This window comes from Homo sapiens, chromosome 7, assembly GCF_000001405.40.
Source record: "Homo sapiens chromosome 7, GRCh38.p14 Primary Assembly".
NCBI classification, from domain to species: domain Eukaryota; kingdom Metazoa; phylum Chordata; class Mammalia; order Primates; family Hominidae; genus Homo; species Homo sapiens.
The window spans coordinates 107,982,543-108,003,935 of NC_000007.14; the positions used below are offsets into that span (position 1 = coordinate 107,982,543).

At 44.5% G+C, this 21,393-nt stretch overlaps 1 protein-coding gene and 1 pseudogene across 3 annotated transcripts in view, besides 1 other annotated feature; both read right to left on the reverse strand.

The window, feature by feature from the left end:
• Window positions 1–20,619, reverse strand: part of LAMB1 (laminin subunit beta 1) — a 79,363-nt gene extending 58,744 nt beyond the window's left edge. For all 3 annotated transcript variants that reach the window (NM_002291.3, XM_047420359.1, XM_047420360.1), the window contains exons 1-7: window positions 20,569–20,619; window positions 20,307–20,429; window positions 19,016–19,191; window positions 15,815–15,950; window positions 12,345–12,418; window positions 3,633–3,821; window positions 3,480–3,543 (exon numbers count right to left, since the gene is read on the reverse strand). In NM_002291.3, the coding sequence (NP_002282.2) occupies window positions 3,480–3,543; window positions 3,633–3,821; window positions 12,345–12,418; window positions 15,815–15,950; window positions 19,016–19,191; window positions 20,307–20,343 (676 nt within the window). In that variant the 5' untranslated portion in view covers window positions 20,344–20,429; window positions 20,569–20,619. The remainder of the gene's footprint in view (window positions 1–3,479; window positions 3,544–3,632; window positions 3,822–12,344; window positions 12,419–15,814; window positions 15,951–19,015; window positions 19,192–20,306; window positions 20,430–20,568) is intronic.
• LOC124901861 (uncharacterized) lies at window positions 17,249–17,440 on the reverse strand (annotated as a pseudogene).
• Window positions 18,457–19,057: an enhancer, noted in NCBI's record as "H3K4me1 hESC enhancer chr7:107641444-107642044 (GRCh37/hg19 assembly coordinates)". NCBI's record gives its function as "activates a minimal SCP1, AML or CMV promoter by ChIP-STARR-seq in primed H9 embryonic stem cells {active_cell/tissue: H9 hESC(primed)}" and the evidence as "EXISTENCE:reporter gene assay evidence [ECO:0000049][PMID:30033119]".

Genomic DNA, 21,393 nt, shown 5'->3' on the forward strand with positions numbered 1-21,393 from the left:
GCCAACATTTTCTCCTGCACAAATCCTCCTGCACAAAATGAGCACAAGCGCCTATTGACAAGAGGCCAAACAACAAACTTGAAGAGCAGCTGGAGTATTTAGAAACCCTTGAACTGACCTTTGTGGAAACCCCTCAGTAGAGCAAATATGCTCCCCCCACTCTCTCCTGCCATATTTAAAAAGCGAGCCTCATCTTGACTGCTATTCTAAGTGGCAAATCACTTTTGAAGTGAGTCTCAGGTCTCAACAATAGACAACTAAAGAGATATTGCTCCCTTGATTACAAAGTAAATCAAATGCATGATCAGCTAACATGCATGCTTCCGTAACATAGAAAAAGATTCTCCGATGTCATTTAACCACAAAAGACAAAAGAATCAAAATTATAAAGACAACACATCCTCCAAGTCCCACAAATTTCACCTTAAAGGGAGCAGATGGTTGAGTCCTTTTAGGGACTTAGGGGGTGTCTGTCCCAGAGCCCTTGTGGACGTTTTTCATAACTGCATTTTGAGACATGCAGGAAAGGCCTCATGGCTCACTCAGAAATTGGCACAGAGCTGGACACATCTATTAAATATTTGTTTTACAAGAGAATGAATGAGTAAATTACAGACCAGAGACAGGCTGGGCCACATGTAAAATTAATTTAAATGGGGAAGCAGCATTTTTCTGGCAATATTCCCTGGACTTCTTCCACTCCACTCTTCCTTGCTTCAAGCTTGGAAGTTTTTTGGGGCCTTGGTTAAAAATAGGGCCTTGTGCAGCTGGGAAAGATCAGCAAGAATCAGCCCCGCCTCTACTCAACTGGTTGCACCTTAGTAGCAGGAGAGGCAGGCTCACCTTTCATTCCAACATTTGGAACTAGTCCTGTGCAAAACCCAAACCAAAGCTGATAGTCACAGCAACATCAACAGCAACAAATGTAGCAACAGCTTTGATGTACTGAACACATTTATGATTTATGAACACATTTAAATCCAGGACTTTGTGACTCCAAAGCCCTTTTTTTTTTTTTTTTTTTTTTTGAGACAGAGTCTTGCTCTGTCACCCAGACTGGAGTGCAATGGTGTGATCTCAGCTCACTGCAACCTCTGCCTCCCGGGTTCAAGCGACAGGCACGCACCACCATACCTGGCTAACTTTTCTATTTTTAGTAGAGACGGGGTTTCACCATGTTGGTCAGGATGGTCTCAAACTCCTGACCTCGTGATCCACCCGCCTAGGCCTCTCAAAGTGCTGGGATTACAGGTGTGAGCCACCGCGCCCAGTGAGCCCATTCTTTTAATTACCATACATGCCTCCCAAGAAGATTAAAATGTAATTGTGTAATAAGAGCAGTTGTTGAATGTGGTAAAGAGCTCTGAACTGAGCACCGTAACATATGGATTCAAGATCTGACTGCCATTTAATAGCCATATCACTTTACGTAATAACATCCAACTCTATAAGCTTCAGCTTATTTTTCTATTAAACGGAAATGCAACCCTCATTTTATTGAGTATATTGAGAATGGCAGAGACTTCTGATTTCTCTTCAGTATTCTTTCTTCCCTTGTTCCTTTGACAGTAAGAGCCCTCGCCAAGAGTGTTAGTAGAGCACATGAAACACCTAGAGATGTTTCCCAGTGTCTCCTGCAGTATAGCCACGTGACTAATTCTGGCCAATGAGATGTGAGCAGAAGTGACGTGTGCAACTTCCACATCTCATTTTTTTGTTTTTTTGAGACAGAGTCTTGCTCTGTCACCCAGGCTGGAGTGCAGTGGCACGATCTTGGCTCCCTGCAACCTCCACCTCCTGGGTTCAAGCGATTCTCCTGCCTCAGCCTCCTGAGTAGCTGGGATTACAGGCATATGCCACCATGTCAGCTAATTTTTATATTTTTAGTAGAGACACGGTTTTACCATGTTGGCCAGGCTAGTCTCGAATTCCTGACCTCAAGTGATCCGCCTGCCTTGGCCTCCCAAAGTGCTGGGGATTACGGAGTGAGCCTCCACGCCTGGCCCATGTCTCATCTTTAAATGGAATTTGCTTGCCTCGTCTTCCCTCTTCTCCCGAGTTGAGGTGAGGACATAGTGGTGGTGGTCTAACTCTAACCATGTGAATAAACCTGGAAACATGGATGGCCTTATAACTAGGGTTGCCAGATTTAACAAGTAAATATAAATGACACTCAGTTAAATTTGAATTGCAGATAAACAACTATTTTTTAGGATAAAGTATGTCTCAAATATCACATAGGACATGGTTATACCAACCACAAATATTGCATGAGACACACTTGTACTAGTCACAAATATTATATGGGATATATGGGATATAGTTATGCTAAAAAAAAGAATTATTTATTTGCAAATGTAACTGGGCATCATCCTGTATTTTATCTGGTAAGCTTAATTATGGCAATTGAGCTACACTTCTTCTCTAGAAAACTCTTTGGTGGGTTTTGTAAGAGAGAAAGAAACTTTCACCTTATTTGAACAACTAGATTTGGGGAGACTCTTTGATACAAAAGCCCAATATATACCCTAATATACTGAGCAATAAAATAAGGTATTATGATCAACACAATTACTTGATAACCTATCAATCTTATATCGGATGTATTGTATTTACATCTTATATCAGATGTAAATGTATTCCCTATCAGTGGAGAGTAATTATTGCTAATTTCAAGACCCTCTGGTCAGGTAACACAGAGAAAGAAGGAAAATGAAAAAGGTAGATTTAGCACTGAATATTTAGATTCTGAGTAAGACTTATTCCATGGCTGCTGTTTACCATCAAAACTTTTATTTGGGCCAGGCGCGCTGGTTCACGCCTGTAATCCCAGCACTTTGGGAGGCTGAGGCGGGTGGATCACCTGAGGTCAGGAGTTCGAGACCCAGCCTGGCCAACATGGTGAAAACCCGTCTCTACTAAAAATACAAAAATAAACTAGCTGGGCATGGTGGCGGGCACCTGTAATCCCAGCTACTCGGGAGGCTGAGGCAGGAGAATCACTTGAACCTGGGAGGCAGAGGTTGCAGTGAGCCTAGATCGCGCCACTGCACTCCAGCCTGGGCAATAAGAGTGAAACTCCATCTCAAAAAAACAAAACAAAACAAAACAAACAAACAAAAAATTTTATTTGGGTCAGGCGTGGTGGCTCATGCCTGTAATCCCAGCACTTTGGGAGGCTGAGGTGAGCAGATCACCCGAGGTTGGGAGTTCAAGACTAGCCTGACCAACATGGAGAAACCCCGTCTCTACTAAAAATACAAAATTAGCTGGGCGTGGTGGCACATGCCTGTAATTCCAGCTACTTAGGAGGCTGAGGCAGGAGAATCACTTGAACCCGGGAGGCGGAGGTTGCAATGAGCAGAGATCGCACCATTGCACTCCAGCCTGGGCAACAAGAGCGGAACTCTGTCTCAAAAAACAAAACAAAACAAACAAACAAACTAACAAAAAACACTTTTGTTTGAAAATGAACTTACTCTGTATCCTTGGGCTATAAGGATCTTCTATTTTGAAAGCAGGATCTAAAGCACGAAATATCACCTAAAAATGGAAACAAGAGTAATTGGTACTTCTGCAATAATCAAAAAGTAGATTTGCAAGTAGAATGTAAAACACAGAAGCAAACAAACCTCTCCTTCAGTTGAGGGTTCAATGTCAGAATATCGAGAATCACAAATTATGTCATCGACTTTTTTCATGGGGCCAGTTGAAATGCCTGGAAACGAGGCCTCACAGTCATAGGCGAAGTATCTATACACACCCCAGGTTTTCCCAAAGTCGGACGATCGTTCTATCAGCATAGCAGCTGGACGGAATGTCTAAAGGCAGGAGCAAAAATCTCATTTGATGTTTTTTATTGGTAGTCTCTACTTTTTTTAATCTCAGGTAAAAATGTCACTCAACTGCATGCCACAAACTTGAACTGCATATGGTTTGTATTTCAGACTGTGGCTGGATTTCAAATAATTCAAGCTGTTCCACAGAGACTCTTCTTGCAAGGAAAATGTCTAACCTCTAAAATGTATACTTTTCCCCACCCTACTGGATAAGTAAACTGTTTCTCTTTAGAAGCTGATTATAAACAGGCCTAAATAGCAAACACACTTTCGTATATTTAGTCACCATGTCCACTGTAATATGAGTGGCAAGTTTGAGTGCTCGTTCCTTCATTCGTTCATTTAATCATTCAATAAAGGTATGACTACCTCCTTAGTATCAGCCAGTGGACTATATGTTGTATATGTTATACACAGTCCAATGAGGTGCAGATATGGGTGTCAATAATTTGCAATATGCTATGTCAAACACCATAGTAGGGTTGCATGCAATGTGCTTTGGAAAAGCAAGAGGAAGAAATTAATAACTCAAGAAGCTGGAAAATCGAGCAATTCCACATTATTAGGTATACACCCGGAAGAATTGAAAACAGGAACTCAAACAGACACTTGTACATGAATGTTCACCACAGCAGTATTATTCACAATAGCCAGAAGGCGGGAACAACCCATGTACCCATCAACTGATGAAGATAAACAAAATATGATATATACATGCTGTGAAATATTACTCAGCCATAAAGAGGAATGAAATGCCAATACATGCTACAACATGGATGAACCTTGAAAGCATTATGCTAAGAGAAATAAGCCACACAAAAGGACAAATATTGTGTGATTCCACTTGTATGAAATACCTAGAATTGGTTAAGTAGACAGAGACACAAAGTTGATTAGCAGTTACCAGGGGCTGGGCAGAGGGACAGTGGCCACAGAATTTCTGTTTGGGGTGATGAAAAAGTTCTGGAAATAGACAGTCTTAGTGGTTGCTCAACATTGTGACTATACCTAACACCATTGATTTATACACTTAAAAATGGTTAAAATGGTAAACTTTCTGTTATGGATATTTTACTGCCAAGAAAAAAAAAGCTAGGAATACTTCACAGAGAAGAAGGCATCAAATTGGATCTTTTTTTGAGGCAGAGTCTCGCTGTGGCCCAGGCTGGAGTGCAGTGGCACGATCTCAGTTCAATGCATCCTCCGCCTCCTGGGTTCAAACAATTCTTCTGTCTCAGCCTCCCGAGTAGCTGGGATTACAAACACGCACCACCACGCCTGGCTAATTTTTCTATTTTTTAGTAGAGATGGGGTTTCACCATGTTGGCCAGGCTGGTTTAGAACTCCTGACCTCAGGTGATCCACCTGCCTTGGCCTCCCAAAGTGAGGGGATTACAAGTGTGAGCCCCCGCGCCTGGGCCAAACTGGATCTTAAAAGGGCAACAAGGTGTTTTCCAGGCAGTGGGTGGAGGCGGCTGCACGTGGCAGAAGAGGTTGGTCGGGGCAGGTAAGAAGTTGCCATGCTAAGGGACTTACGTTTTTGCAAGGAAAAGAGAACACTAAAAAATTTAAGTGGACAAATGAAATGATCAGATTGCACTTTAGAAAAATAACTCTTGTGGTAGTTACTGGACATGGATGATACAAAACACAGGAAAACCAAGTGAAAGAAAAAAGATGACGGTTTTAACCTGAGAAATTACAATGTAGATAGAAAGGGATGGAACTGACCACTCTGAAAATTTAGTGACAGAAGACTCTATTGAATTACACTTGGTGATCAATTAGATTGTAGTGGAAAAGGCAGGGTGAGGAAAGAAATACAGGCACCTGAACTTGGGTAGCCAGGTAGCTGTGTTGCCAATGACGACAACGTGGAAGAGGCGTGAAAGCATTTGGTTGTAGGCTAATTAGTCACATGTGTGATGTCCACTTGGAGACACCCATCAGACACTTGGAAAAAGTGGTCTGGCACTCAGCTGCAAGAATGGAGCTTGAAACATGAATTTGGGAGTCACTGCACACACATATTTGAAACCTCCAAGTATATGATGTCTCAAACAAAAAAAAAGAAAAAAGGAATGGGTAAGATAAAGAGAGCCTAAGTCTGTGCTCTAGAAAAACGTATCAACCAGGGGCTAGACAAGGAAAACAGAGTGGTGCCAGTACCCCTCATTACATTCTTTACTTTAACTCTCTATAATTTGGGCTGATTTGTGTGTCTGCAAGTTTCATATGCTGAAGACCTAACTCCATACTTCAGGTCACTAGATGTGGAGATGGGCTCTTTAAAGAGGTGATTAAGGTTAAATGAGGTCATGAGGGTGGGCTGTAATCATATGTCTGGTGTCCTTATAAGAACAGATGAGGACACACACATGCACAGAGGGAAGACCATGTGAAGACACAGGGAGAAGACAGCCATCCCGAACCAAGGAGAGAGGCCTCAGCAGAAACCAACCCTGCCAACACCTTACCCTGAGATTCCTAGCCTATGGAACTGTGAGAAGACACATTTCTGTTGTTTAAGCCACCCAGTCCGTGACACTTTGTTATGGCATCCCTAGGAAACCAAGGCACCCTCACAACACATTTGTCTGACAAATGAGAAAATTGAGGCTCGGAGACACTGACTTGCTAGTTACAGGCAGAGCTTAGATTCAAATCCATTCCTATCTTTCTCCCTCACTGGCTGAAGGCACAGAAGACTGAAAAATGAGTGTCAGAGGGAAAAGAGAAAAAAAGGCAGTCTTCTGAAACCAAGGCAGGAGGGAGATTTAGGAGGGTGTAGTGAACAGGGTCAACTGGAAGTAAAAGATGAAGCAGAAAGAGCGCTGAAAAATAGGCAAACAGGCAAAGGTTTTGACACTAACCAACACAGTGATGCATTTTGGGGAATTGGAAGTCAGATTACAAGGGAAAAAGATCAAAGGAAATTTCAGCTGACCTAGAAAACAGAACCTAAATAAAGACACTTACTTCCGAATTAAAACCAACGCTTGACAGAAATTTGGGTGAGGGTTAATGGTGAAAACTAGAAACATGCTTAGGCTTCCTTTAGCCCTCCTTAATAATCCTGCTGAGCTTTTTCTCTGATAAAAGATGTCAAGGATAAGAACATGGACAATTACATTTTGACAGATTCTTTGACTTATTCACTCACTAGCTGCTTAGGTTTATTTTTCACCTACCCAGGAATATAAGAAAATGATACCGTATTCAACTCAAGAGAATATCAGCCTAAGAATTTTAAAGTAAGAGAGAAAAATCCCTAAGGACTAACTGAACCATGTGTGCCACGTACCATGGCAAACTCCCCGTGAGAGCCTGGCTGGGAGGCTTGGGGAGAGGAAGAGAGGGGAAGGTCTAATCGGACTTCTCTGTGCCAATGGCTCTGTGAAAGCCATTTCTGGCTGTGCTTCCTTCTCCCTCTCTTTTGGAAACTTTTAAGTCCCAAAGGACCATTGACGAGTCATCCAATTTCCCGTGGAGTTAAGAAGCTGCTGGAAACCAGAACAACACATTTTACCTAACGAATAGAATCCTTTCCATACTCTCTGCTTAGTCATCAACCTTCCCAGGCCTGCCATTGCTGCACAGTTGCCTCCAAATTTATAATAAACAAAAGACCTATGAGTTTTTTGTGTTTTTTTTTGTTTGTTTGTTTTGTTTTTTGAGATAGAGTCTTGCTCTGTTGCCCAGGCTGGAGTGCACTAGTACAATCATAGTTCACTGCAGCCTTGACCTCCCGGGCTCAAGCAATCCTCCAACCTCAGCCTCCTGAGTAGCTGGGACTACAGGCGTGTGCCACCATGCCTGGCTAATTTTTTAATTTTTTGTAGAGACAGGGTCTTGCTATGCTGTCCAGGCTGGTCTTGAACTCCTGAAGCTCAAGCGATCCCCCCACCTCAGCACCCCCAAGTGTTGGGATTACAGGCATGAGCCACTATGCCTGGCCAAGAGTTATGAGTTTTGAAACATCTAGTAATATAGAAAAACATACTGTGTACATGCTAAATGAGCTTTTGCTAGTCTAAATCCACTTAGCAATTAGCCATCTCTATGGCGAACTTGGGGGAAAAAAATCAACAACCTCAGTTCTCTTCCTGATTTCACTACTGTCAGTGGCTTCACCATCTTCCTAGTTATTTCACTTGACTAACTAATTTTTTTTTAAGTGAAAGCAAGTTTATTAAGAAAGTAAAGGAAGAAAAGAATGGCTACTCCATAAGCAGAGCAGCCCTAAGTAATTTTTGATTCAGCCCTTTCCTTCCACTGTTCTGCTTCTAATCTTTCTCCATTTCATGGTTCAGCTTTTGATTTTAAAGTATCCAAATGACTGCCCTTAGAAAACAGGGGCACCTCATCTTGGCAATGATCCTCAAAGGCAGTTAACAGCAGAGAGTATCAGAGTATGGCAGTGAGTGGACACATGGGATTTGAAAAAGCTTTCTAAGATATTCTTACAGGACTCCTGGGTTGCAGGAAAAGGCTCCCTCCTACTTAAGAATCACAGCCAGTTTTTGCATTAGCAGTAACCCTCCATTAATGCTTCATCAATGCTGACATCAACAGAGCCTCCCAACATGCCCTTTATTCTCGCCATCCCAGTCCTTGCTTTGTATTTCCTCTTGGGCTACCTTCCTGAAACACAGGTCTCATTTTCTTGTCAATGGTTCCCAATTTTTTTTTGGTATTAATTTTTTTTAAAAGATTCAGAAATCTGGATCTTTAAGACTGGCATAAACAAAAATAAAGCACAAAATAACATGATAGCAGCAGTTATTAACTGCAAGAATACAGTAAAAAAGACTCATACTAAATGTTAATGTTTTTGCAACAGAATTATTGCAATCACCTCATAGTGGCAAATTTTGGCAAGAAATGATCATTCATTTCTTATTAAAAATACAAAAAAGAGGCTGAGCACAGTGGCTCATGCCTCTTTTGTATCCCTGCACTTTGGGAGGCAGAGGCAGGTGGATCACTTGAGGTCAGGAGTTTGAGACCAGCCTGACTAACATGGTGAAGCCCCGTCTCTACTAAAAATACAAAAGTAGCCGGGTGTGGTGGTACATGCGTGTAATCCCAGCTACTTGGGGGGCTGAGGCAGGAGAACTGCTTGAACCCAGGAGGCAGAGGCTGCAGTGAGCCAAGATCGTGCCACTGCACTCCATCCTGGGCAACAAGAGTGAAACTCCATCCTCAAAAAAAAAAAAAAAATTACTAAAAGAATTTCTAAGATTAGGCTGGGCGCGGTAGCTCACGTCTGTAATCCCAGCACTTTGTGACGCCGAGGCGGGCAGATCATGAGGTCAGGAGTTCAAGACCAGCCTGGCCAATATGGTGAAACCCTGTCTCTACTAAAAATACAAAATTAGCTGGGCATGGTGGCACATGCCCGTAATCCTAGCTACTCGGGAGGCTAAGGCAGAAGAATCGCTTGAACCCGGGAGGTGGAGCTTGCAGTGAGCTGAGATCGCGCCACTGCACTCCAGCCTGGGAGAGAGCGAGACTTCGTCTCAAAAAAAAAAAAAAAAAAAAAGAATTTCTAAGATTCATCAGTTGTAATGGCTCCCTATTTCTTATAAAGTTCACACTCCCTAGCAAGGAGTCAATGTCCTTTGCATCTAATCTGCTTTTCTACTTTCCTTTCCTTTCCTTCTCTCACTACCCCAAACTCGAGGCAAATCTACATAGCACTTGCTGAGCAAATCCTGACCCACTGTCCCACCACCAGTGCCTTGCTCTCAGACTGTTTCCCTCCGGCCATGAATGGCCTTTCTTCCATCTCCTCCCACTGACATCCCTGCTCTCCCTTCCTGGCCCAGGTCAAGTGCAGTCCCAGTCCTAGGTTTCTTCTTTATTCCAGGCTAAAATTAATCTCACCCTCCTCCAGGCTAACAAAGATTGTCTGAACTTCTGTTGTAGTCATTAGCACATTCTGTCACATACTGTAAGTTATTTGCAAGTATATCTTTCTCCTCTGGAAGACTGGAAGCTCCTGGAGGGCAGTCACTGTGCTATCTTTACAATTTCCCATAAGGCTTAAAGTAGGGTAGTTTCTTACAAACAGAAGATGGTTGAATTCATTTATCCACTTATTCTTTCATTCAGTAAACATTTGTAGAGCAATTACTATATGCCAAGCATCTGCATTTATAAAGACTTTCAGGTTCCCACTATCCGCCAGGGCAACAAGATTATCCCAGTTCCCAGAACAGAAGGGAACAGGCCAGGCGCGGTAGGCACGCCTGTAATCCCAGCACTTTGGGAGGCCAAGGTGGGAGGATCACTTGCGGTTAGGAGTTCGAGACCAGCCTGGCCAACATGGTGAAACCTGCCTCTACCAAAAATACAAAAATTAGCCAGGTGTGGTGGCATGTGCCTATAGTTCCAGCTACTCAGGAGGCTGAGGCAGGAGAATTGCTTAAACCCAGGAGGCGGAGGGTGTAGTGAGCCAAGATTGCACCACTGCACTCCAGCCTGGGCAATAGAGCAAGACTCAGTATTTAAAAAACAAAAAACAGAGGGGAACAGGAGAACATCACCATTCTGTCCTATGTCCTATGATGTAGGTATTATTCCTCTTCCCATTTACCAATGAGGAAGTCACAGCTCTGGCCACACATGCCAAGAAGGAGCAGGCAGGGATTCACACCCAATGTACCCAACCCCATAGATGTTGCTTTTCTCACTGGAGCTAGGACCCGAAGGATGAGTTGTTTTCTCATAAACCAGTGTGATAACTTGTACCTATTCTTTTTCTCGAGACAGGGTCTCACCCTGTCACCCAGGCTGGAGTGCAGTGGCATGATCTCGGCTCACTGCAACCTTCGCCTGCAGGGTTCAAACGATTCTCCTGCCTCGGCCTCCCAAGTAGCTGGGACTACAGGCGCGTGCCACCACGCCTGGCTAATTTTTGTATTTTCAGTAGAGCCGGGGTTTCACCGTATTGGCCAGGCTGGTCTTGAACTCCTGACCTCAAGTGATCTGCCCGCCTTGGCCTCCCAAAGTGCTGGGATTACAGGTGTGAGCCACCACGCCTGGCCCCAACTTGTAGCCATTCTGCATGTCTCAGTTCAATCATCACCCCCGTTTTACCTTCTGCGCCTACACAAGTAAGTTCATCTTTCTCCCACTGTATTCACCTGAATGAGTATTCAACTACAAAACATGTGCCTAAAGGATTTTGGATCTAGATGAACTCAGAACTATCCATGTATATGAACAGATGCCCTCTGCAAAGGAAAAAATAGGATCATAAACATTAATAAAGATGATTTTGAGTATTCTCAGGTGTCACATAACATAAAGGTAACATCCTTGTAGGCCGATGAGCATCAGTTTAATCACCAGATTGTGTGGTCAATGAAGGGACAAGCGGTTGGTGACAAGGAGTAGTTGACAATTTATTTAGTGAAACCTTCCCCACCACTCTCAATACCAGGTGTCACAGTCACAGTGCCCACCTTCCTGCTCCAGCAGGAACAGCAGGCTGCTGGGGAGTGGGCAAGGGGATAAAGGCTCAGAGGCACAGCCCAGCATCCCTCCTAGTTGCATTCTGACTCCCACACCCACCCTAGCTCCTTGGCCTCCCACTTTGGTGGCAGAGACAGTGAGACTTTCATGGCTACCCGCCCACATGGTAAATCTATCCTTGGCACCTTTTCCTATCCTGAGAGGGTGTAGATAAGGTTCCCAACTCCAACTGAAAGCTATTCAAAAGTGATTTTTAATCTGAGAAGCAATAACTAAATTATGGGTTTTCTGTGAGCCAATGTGTACTTTAAGCCATGTGAAGCCTGTCATTTCCAGGCAGCTGCTTAAGAAGAAACAAAGGGACTTTGTACAGAGACATTCCCTAGTTCTGGAGTCATTTTACATCTCTCAAAGAAAAATGATGAGAAAATCCACATTTAAGAAGGCATTACACATTTCTTAAGGAACTGTAAAACTGTTCCTTAAGCTATTATTTAGCTGAAACTAAATAATAATCCCATGGGCTTATTTAGGTGGTAAAGCACAAGTCGAATGATTCTTTAGTTTTCCACAAATCATTCTGGAGTTCAACAGATTGAATCTGCTCACAAATTGTGCAAAACTCTGAAAACCAAAGAGAACACACTTCCTTTCCAGTTACCAAAGTCAGTATTAAAACAGAAACACAAGGGACCAGGGATTTACTCTCCAGATGTTTTATTGCGGTTTGGAAAAGGGTCAACACTGCCTTACTCTATGGGGAAATAAAAAGATACCTAATTAAAAGTTTACAGTTGAATTACCTTAGAATAGAGGCTCTTTCTACTTATTGTCATGAAGATAGAGTATTTGTTAAATGCAGTTATTCATGCTCGTTTTAAAAACTGCTCAATTACCCCAATTTATGGCAACAATAATATTTAAGTTCCCATTTAGGTCAACTCACATCTGACATCCATTTTGAAAGGGGACATTACACAGTGCTCTCATGTGTCATTTGTGAGAAAGTCATGGATTTCTTACCTTGAAAGTCATTATGAGATGAGTAAAATGGAATTCTGCTTCCAAATCCAGTTGGATAGTTACATTTTCCACACCTACAGGAGATTTAAAAAAAATAAAACAATAAATGAAACTGTAAATAGAAACATCTGTGAATAGTTGAGACTATTTTTTAAATTACTTTTATGTTCCCCATAGAAATTATCCTCGCATTCTACCTTAAGCTGAAGCTGAAACTAAATAATAATCCCATGGGCTTATTTAGGTGGTAAAGCACAAGTTGAATGATTCTTTAGTTTTCCACAAATCATTCTGGAGTTCAACAGATTGAATCTGCTCACTGGAACAAGACATCTGGCAGAGTGCCTCTAGCTGCTGTCAAGAAAGACATCCTTTGCCTAGCCAGAAGTGAAACATCTTCCCAACCCTCTAAGCCAAGCTGCTCTCAAAGGAAAAAAGGGAGGGGCACTTCCTGTGCACAGTAGGGGGTCAGCTTGCAGTCTGATGCACAAGGACACAATCCTCCTCCAGTAGAAACACAAATATTCCTTTTTCTCTATGCAGCAGCAAAGAAAATAAATAAGAGTCTACCACATATGTTAGTTATACCACAACTTAGAAAAACCTATCCCTGATGGGGAAACCTTTGGATGCATTTCCACAATGAAAAACAACGCCAGAGAAAAAAAGAATCTGTCAAATAAACTGGCTCAGAACAAATACTAACATCTTCTCTTTCAGGGGAAAGCCTGAACAAACAAATGAGCCTTTGCACCCTTGCCCTGAGGGTCAGTCAGTCTCACTTAAACACGTTAAAAAGGCCACTGGAATTCCAGAGATGGAAAGCACCTCCTCCCCAGTCCCTAGAGCTCTCAAGCCTGCCTGTTCAGCAAGGGAGGCTTGCCACGCTTCTTGTGTTTGAGAGAGCTTTTGGGGTCCATCTTGAGAGCAAAAGAAGTCTTAAATGCGGAAAGACAGGAATGTGTCAGAATGAATCATGTCACAGACTGGTGTATTTTCAGGAAATCAGGAGGACCTTTTGAAATAAACTCTTGCTGGAAAATTGCCAAGTCAATTGAGGGGGCGGGGGGTGAGGAAAGTGGTCATTGGAACGGATATGAGTTAGCTGGAATGTTAAAAGAAAAACATTATATTCACACTAACTAATCTTACCTAACTTATCAAAAAGAACCATATTACAGAACTACACTGGGCATTTATTTTTGAGTGAAATGTTAGGCAACTGTACATCTCTCCTCTTCCAGGCTTTTAAAAACCTACAATATTTGTTCAAAATTAAGAGATAACAAAATAATGTAAAGTGCAAAGCAAGACTAGTGCCATTTCTGTAACCTAAGAACATATGCTGCAATGTGTGCACCAAAAGCACATTCCATTTAGATTTATAACCTGATAAAGCACTACAGGCTTTTTTTTATATGGGAAGAAAAATCCACAGAGAAAAGAAACAAGGTCATTCTTCTATAGTGTATTTGATTTCTGTCAGACCTAGGAAGAGATCATCACGATGGGTAAAAATAGTCGTACATTCCAAGCTCGTTTCTGTGCCTGGACACTGATAATTTAGCCCCGCCACGTATAAGCACAACTTGTGCACAACACACAGAAAATAGATAAAATCACATTCATAAACTCTTAAACTGTGATCAGACAACAGAGAGATGATAGGGTATAGTAACAATCAGTCTGACTTTCTAAAGACTAAGTTCCATCAGTCTAATCTCATCTAATCTCTTGTGACAGAGTGACAGAGAACTCAAGCCCCTCTACTGGAAAATCTCTTCTTTCTGGCATCTGGTCTCTTTTGTCCCAGAGATTCAAAGTTGTAGAAGTTGATTAACTCGACATAACTAAGAAAAACCTTCCTCTAGAACTACAGCACATGATAAACTGTTTCACTGTCTGCTGACTAAAATGGGGACAGTCTCCATCCTAATGTTGAGGCATCTTCTTCAAACGGTCTTTCACTAGAAGAATGTGGGAGATCAGGAAATGTTCCTAGTCTTTGTTCATAATAAGCTTGCTGCTGTTTCAGAAGTCCTCGGGGTACACTGCAGATTTACAGAAACTTCTCTTTCACACTGAAGTATCAACCAAAATATGCCCCCGTAAGAATGAACATGGCTCTAAATGATAAATGCTTTCTGATGACCCAATGAAGTTTGTAACCAATGAATTGCCAAGGCCAACCAATGAACAAACCAACTCTCCTTAGAAACCAATAGTCTAGAAAATATTGCAATTTAACAGTCGATGGCTGGGCGTGGTGGTTCACACCTGTAATCCCAGCACTTTGGGAGGCCAAGGCGGGTGGATCACGAGGTCAGGAGATTGAGACCACCCTGGCTAACACCGTGAAACCCCACCTCTACTAAAAATACAAAAAATTAGCTGGGCGTGGTGACATGTGCCTGTAATCCCAGCTACTCAGGAGGCTGAGGCAGGAGAATCACTTGAACCCAGGACGTGGAGGTTGCAGTAAGCTGAGATTGCGCCATTGCATTCCAGCCTAGGTGAAAGAGGGAGACTCTGCCTCAAAAATAAACAAACAAACAAACAAACAGTCAATGACAAAGAAATCTATTAAGGGCGTTTGTCTTTACAGAATGATAGATGGCTGCAGCGGCATCCAAAGCCTGCCCAGGTGTACTGCATAGAATAAAGAAATCTAGTAGTCTCCAGGCTTTTTAACGGCCAGGGTTAGGTTCACTTCTTTGAGGATACTTATTTATTTATTTATTTTAAAGATCTAACAGTACATTGTTAATTAACGAACACAATAACTCTACCTTTATTCCCCAAATTTCAGCATTCGAGTTTGAAACAAATGTGAAACTCATCTGGGCTTCATGTCACAGCAATAGTAAAATCATATTTGATGAATGTATTACACCAAATCCCAAATAGCAAAGACAGGAAAAAGGGTGTAATTCATGCAATCACTGGAGGAACCATTTGACTTGGGGTCATATCCATGTTGACAGAGTCTTTGAAAAAATTACATCTTGCTGCTTATTCATAGTGTTACTATTACTATCAAGACACTTTCTGTAGATGAAGGAAGGCAGTGGGGGGAGGAGTGGGGGCTATGATTCTGCCCCTTCCTTTGGGATTGATCAAAATGAAAGATGTTACATTTTGTGGAAGAATAAGGGCCTGAGATAGTACCCATACCCTCCCCAGACAGCCCCCGGCACACAAGTATTCTCTCCAAAAGCCCCTCAGAATAAGGACTATGAAATGCTCCTTTGGTCTAGCATGACAGACTGCTTTCTTATAGGAAATACATGCTTCAGGAAGAAGGATAAGATTTTACCAAGAGAAGTTAGTGCTCCAGGCAGTCAATCTGTCAGAGGCCATAATTACAGGACAGAGAAGTGAATCATAATTACAAACACCCAGGAACCTGTAAGCTCCACCCAAGTTATCAATCACACTCAACGGAACTTGTCCCCACACCAACCACATACCATTTTCAGATTGCCACCAAATCTTAAGGCGGTTTGGAGCAAATGTAGTGACCACATTTTCAATGAGATGGCTGTCAGGATTCAGGGTCTCATGATAAGGATCTTGGGAATTGCATATGAAGCATTTTTTGTCCTCCTACAAACAAAGTTGAGTTCATCAGTCTAGAAAGCAATCTCATTAAAAACATTTTTAATTAAAAAAACCCCATGAAGCTCCTAATACAAAAATCAACCTATTAGCTTCAAGAAAAATAATTGTGTGAAAATTGCTTAGGAGATTTGTATCACATCTTTCACTTTTAACTTGCTGAGTCTAAAATAGTCTTGAAAATAATTTCCTCCTTCCTTGCAAATTCAAGATCTAAAGTAAAAGAGGGCATTGTTTCCACAAGCTATTAATTTAACCAAAATCAAATTTCTAGGCTTAAACCTTAATCTCAATAAACAGCTAGAGAAGCTTACTCTACAGTAAAATGCAGAGGAGATATTAGAGAATTTTTGCTGACATAAAGCAAACTAAAAATGAAAGAAAAAAATACAGTTCACTTGGCCTGATTTTCTAAAACCTAAATGAAGCAGAAACCAAGTATTAGGCAGAAGTATTTAGAGAAGCTTTGGGAACCACAGAACAAGATTTCTTCGTTTCCACCCTGCCCGAGCAGTGAATCAATGGTGGTGGCATGCAGGCTAACCTGCAAATTGCTCAGAATATCTGGGGAAGGGAGGACCAGGCTGTTGGGAGGACCACGCCATGTTGGGCCCACTATAATCTGGGGCCAGTTCAAAGAACCCCAACATGGGCATGAACTAGGATGAAGATAGACTGTAAGTTTTAGGTTAGCTTTGAATTTCTCTTACTTTCTTTCTCCTAAAATGGGAGCCAGAGCCACCTGGGCAGTTGGGTTAGGAGAGTTATCTACTTCCTGTGCATTCCATCAAGGCAAATCATAAACAACAGAGCTTAATAGTTCTCTTTCCACAAGGAGCTTTGCTCTGTACCTACATTTTCTGAAATGCAGACTATTCTTAAGTCTGAAAATGAGGCTAAGACTGAAATACATAGAGACCCACATGTATGTTACAAACAGCATTTAAGGGTAATATTCTTATAAGGACACAATTAACTGACCGTACTTTTACGTTGTATTTCACATCGTATTTATTTAGTTATTACCTTCTTCTCAAAAGGATTTGGAGACTGGCAAGATGTACTGTCTAAAAAACAGAGACCCAAAGCCAGGGATGCATTAGGAGCCTGGATAAAACAAGCTTCCTGTCTCAATCTTGATGCCCACTAGATGTTTGAGAAAAGCATATGTCCAGTCCCTTTCTTTAGGCCCTATCTGTGAAAAGCACTTCACAAATGCATGGCTAATCATATATACCAGAGAGCCTGGCTCCAGTTGCTTTTTTTTTTTTTTTTTTTTAAGGGAAACTACTAAGACTGCATCCTCTTCCTCTTACTCTCCCAAAGGAAGAGAAGAACCAAGAAGCAATACCAAGAGCCAGCTTCACACTCAGGAGAGACCGCTGCACCTCTTTTTTGTGGTTTCTGATGCTCTCTACATGTTTAGAGAAACTTCTCTAGTAACGAACTATAGAAATCATCACTGAGAGGATAGTCTTTCCAGTTGCTTTTAATACAAACAGTGTGATTCTCATTTTGGTCAAAGCTGATTTCAGAATCTGGTGATTCATTTACAGGATGTCCTGGCCTCTCAAGTAAGTGTTAGCATAATATTGTAGGTAAAATTTAAATGCTAATATTAGAAAAGTAACATCAACTGCCTTCAATAACTTGTAGTCAAGGAAACTAGTACTGGAGAACAATCACCAGAACTCAAAAAAAAAAAAAGTTTAAAAAAGTTTAATTACAGCCTCCCTTCTAATCAGGAGGAAGCAGTCTAGACATCTCTGTATAAACCTGGAAGCAAATGAACGGAATCCACTTTACCACATTCCTTTGGTCTAATTGATCAGGTCTCCAGAATGGGCTTTCTGCTTTGTAAAAGTGACTCCATTTTAAGGGATCTGCTGTGCAAACCACACACAATACTCTGTCCTCCTTCTGAAGGGCAATTGTACAGGTGGGTGGGCTGACCATGTTCTGAGCAATTAGCTTGGAACTTGCCCCGAATGTGAAACTGATACTTTCTGCTTTTGTTAGAGGCCAGAAATATCAGCCTTTATTTAAAAAAATTTTTTGAGACAGGGTCTCCCTTTGTTGATCAAGCTGGAATGCAGTGGACTGATTATCGCTTACTGCAGCCTCGACCTACTGGGCTCAAGTGATCCTCCCACCTCAGCCTCCCAGACAGCTGGGACCACAGGTGTGGACCACCACGCCCAGCTAAGTTTTAAAAATTTTTTGTAGAGACTGAGTCTATGTTGTCCAGGCTGGTCTTGAACACTTGGGCTCCAGTGATCCTCCCACCTCAGCCTCCCTAAGTGCTGGGATTACAGGCATGGAGCCATTTTGCTCCCGGCCAGCCTCCTTTTTAAAAATGAAGGAAAAGTATTCTGATTCTGAATATTTTACACTTTGTGTCTTCTTTTAAAATTACTTTTGACTTTGTATAAATATGACCCCTGAAATCTAAAATTTGGGCCCTCTTTTAGAAACAGGTAACACCCTGAAATTTCACTGTGGTCTTCCTGTATCAGGGTACCATGGCAACCAGGGCATTTCGTAAAAGCAAGCATCTGATCCTGATATCTAGTTGGGAACAGCACCAAATGAGGAGAGGAAAACGGGTTCGTTCAGTGATTGGAATCACCTTGCAAGACGCCTGTCATTGCTGGAATCCTCTTTACCCAAGTGAAGATGCGGTAGAGGGGGGTGGGGAAACCCAAGGGTTTTAAAAAGAGGATAAATCACCTTTAATGCACACTTCCAAAACTAAAGTTTTAAAAAACACACACACAATCAGGCCTTTTGGAGGCTCTGGGTCAGGGCAGCCAGGGCTGTCGGCAGTCCTGCCTTTCCATACTCACCGCGCCGGCAGGAAATGTGTGGCGGATGCAACTGTGCAAACTGAGATGGGGCGAAAGGTTGAGCTACAAGCCTAATCCCGGGACTCCCCGGCTGGCTGCGCTTCCTATCTGGATTGCTGGAAGGATGCGGAGTCCCCAGGGCCTGCCCCTTAGGTCTGGACGGGAGGAGGCGCTAGCAGAGCCTCGAACCCCGCTCTCAGCCCTCACCTGCAAGTGGCTGACGATACAGTAGGGTTCGGGCTTGTGCAGCCCGCACGTCGAGGTCACCGAAAGCTTCTGTGCTCGGCCGATGAGAAGGTCGCCCGTGGCGGGATAGCAGCTGCCTTCTGCGCAGCCGTAGCTGAACTCGGGTTCCTGAGCGCGCACTCGGGCTCTGCACAGGGCTGCGGGAAGGACAGGCAACAGAGTTGGGGGGACACAAGCAGGGAGTGGAGCCCGAAAAAAACGAACAAGCGGGGGCGGGGGAGTGGGTGCGGAGAGAGGACAGTCCATTCGGAAGAAAGCAAAATGCACAGAAAAGACAATGGAGAGATGAGCGCAGGAGAGGCTGGGAAGGCAGGGACTCCGAAAGGAGAAGGACACGGAAAGAAACCCACACACGTCATCAGGTCTGTCCAGCAGCGAGAGCCTCCCTCCCGGGAAACCCACCGACGCTCGCGCCCACCCTGATCAGCCCCGGGGAGCAGCTCCCCCAACAAAGGGTGGATGTGTAGACCCTCCACTTCGACGTGTCCGGAGCCCGGCGCAGGGAGGCTGACCCCCAAAGGGCCACACACCCACGCACGTGAACCCGCGTGCACGCGGCAGCCCGCGCATCCTCGGTGTGAGTGTGCGCGTGGAGATCTGTGAGCTTGGGAAGCGAGAGTGCGTGTGCGTGCACGCGCGAGGGTCACCGGCGCTTCGCTGGGGACGAGGCGCCGGGGCTCGCGGTGGACGCCGCTTTCCGGAGCTAGGGGAGCCCATGGACAGTCCCTGGGGCTCTGGAGTGGTTTCAAGGCTTCTCCATTCCAGGGAAGCGCCAGGTCCTGCTGTTTCTGGTGCCATCCGGAGACAAACAGAGATGGTTAATTAAAGCCACATGGCCCCCATCTGTTCCCAGAATGAAGCCTCCGCTCAGCTCAGGCACTCTCCTGGGCAATGGATTTTTGGAGAGCCCTCCTCGGTCAGCACCGCCAACCCCAGGGAACCTGCCCTCTGCGGTGGGGAAACCCAGGGTGAACCGGCCGAGGGTGCAAAACCCTGAGCGGGGGCCGCGGGAGGCCGCAGGGGCCGGGGCTTGGGCGCAGAGCCCGGGGGATGAGGGTCCGCGGCGCTCCGCGTGCGCTGTCTCCAGCCACCACCGAAGCAAGGGCGGTGGCGTTTAATCCCAGGGGCGTCATTTCCATCCAGTCCCTCTCCCAAGCCCCCAGGATCCCACGAAGGTGAGCAAGCAGCTTTTGGGTTTTCCTTCCCCATGCCCAAGTCCGTCCGCCTCCCCGCACCGTTTCCACGGAATTACCTAAGAAACTGAAAGCTAGCAACTGGAGAAGCCCCATGCCGGCTCCCTGCAGCCACGGGGACGCGGCAGAGGAGTGGAGAAGACGCCCGCCGAGCCGCCTGCCCTTTCTTCCCGTCTTCCTTTCTGGAGAGGTGGAAAGGAGGGGAAAAAAGGCAAATGTTCAAAGAGAGAAGAGGCGCCCTTCCATTTCCTGTCGCTCCCACGGAAGCGGGGGGTGGGCTGGAAAGTGGGGAAAATCGTGCAGCCACTTTGTTCTCCTCACCCGGCGACGCGAGCTCTCGCCCTGCTCCGGGAGCCCCCGAGCCCAAAGAAGGGAATTAGAAAGTTTAGCCTTGGGAGGAACAGAGGGAGGCGCCTCTGCTCATGCGCATACGGAGAGCCGGGGCTGAAGGGGCGGGCGGCCGCAACTCTGCGAGGACCGGGTGAGGTCCCGGTCCCACCCCCCGGGGCGCCTCTTTTGTTTGAAAGCCGAATCTGCGATCGCTGCGGGGCTGGGGCGCTTCCAGGTCCCAGGGCGGGTCCGCCCCGGGGTGCGCGTCCCAGAACGGCGCGCGGCGGGGCCGTCCAGCGAGGGGGGCGGATGCGTGGGGGCGTCTCCGAGGTGGGTTTTCAGGTTGCCCAGCCAGGGGGCCGGCGGGACCTACCGCGGACTCGCGCATTTACGTTCGCAAGAAGTGAATCACCAAACGTGCCCACGGCTAAAACTCTCGTGCGGTGCGCTCGGGGAAGGCGGGTTAACCCTTTAGAAACAGGGTCGACCTGTCGTGTTTGTTCTTTAGAAAGTGACACTTCCTCTCCGCCCCTAGTATCCAAGAGCTTGGGATGGGCGCGACATCTACAGTGTCTTCCTAGGAAGGAGGAGAAGCTCTGTGCGCCCTGCAATTCTTTGCGCACACATTTATTCAGGACCTATCTGTAATCCCTGTTACCCAGGTGGTCACGGCATTGAATTGAACGTCCAGTTCTGTTTTTAAAAAATCTACTTCCAACATGGTGCAACTCCATCTCTACTAAAAATACAAAAATTAGCTGGGCGTGGTGGCGGGCGCCTGTAATCCCAGCTACTCGGGAGGCCGAGGCACGAAAA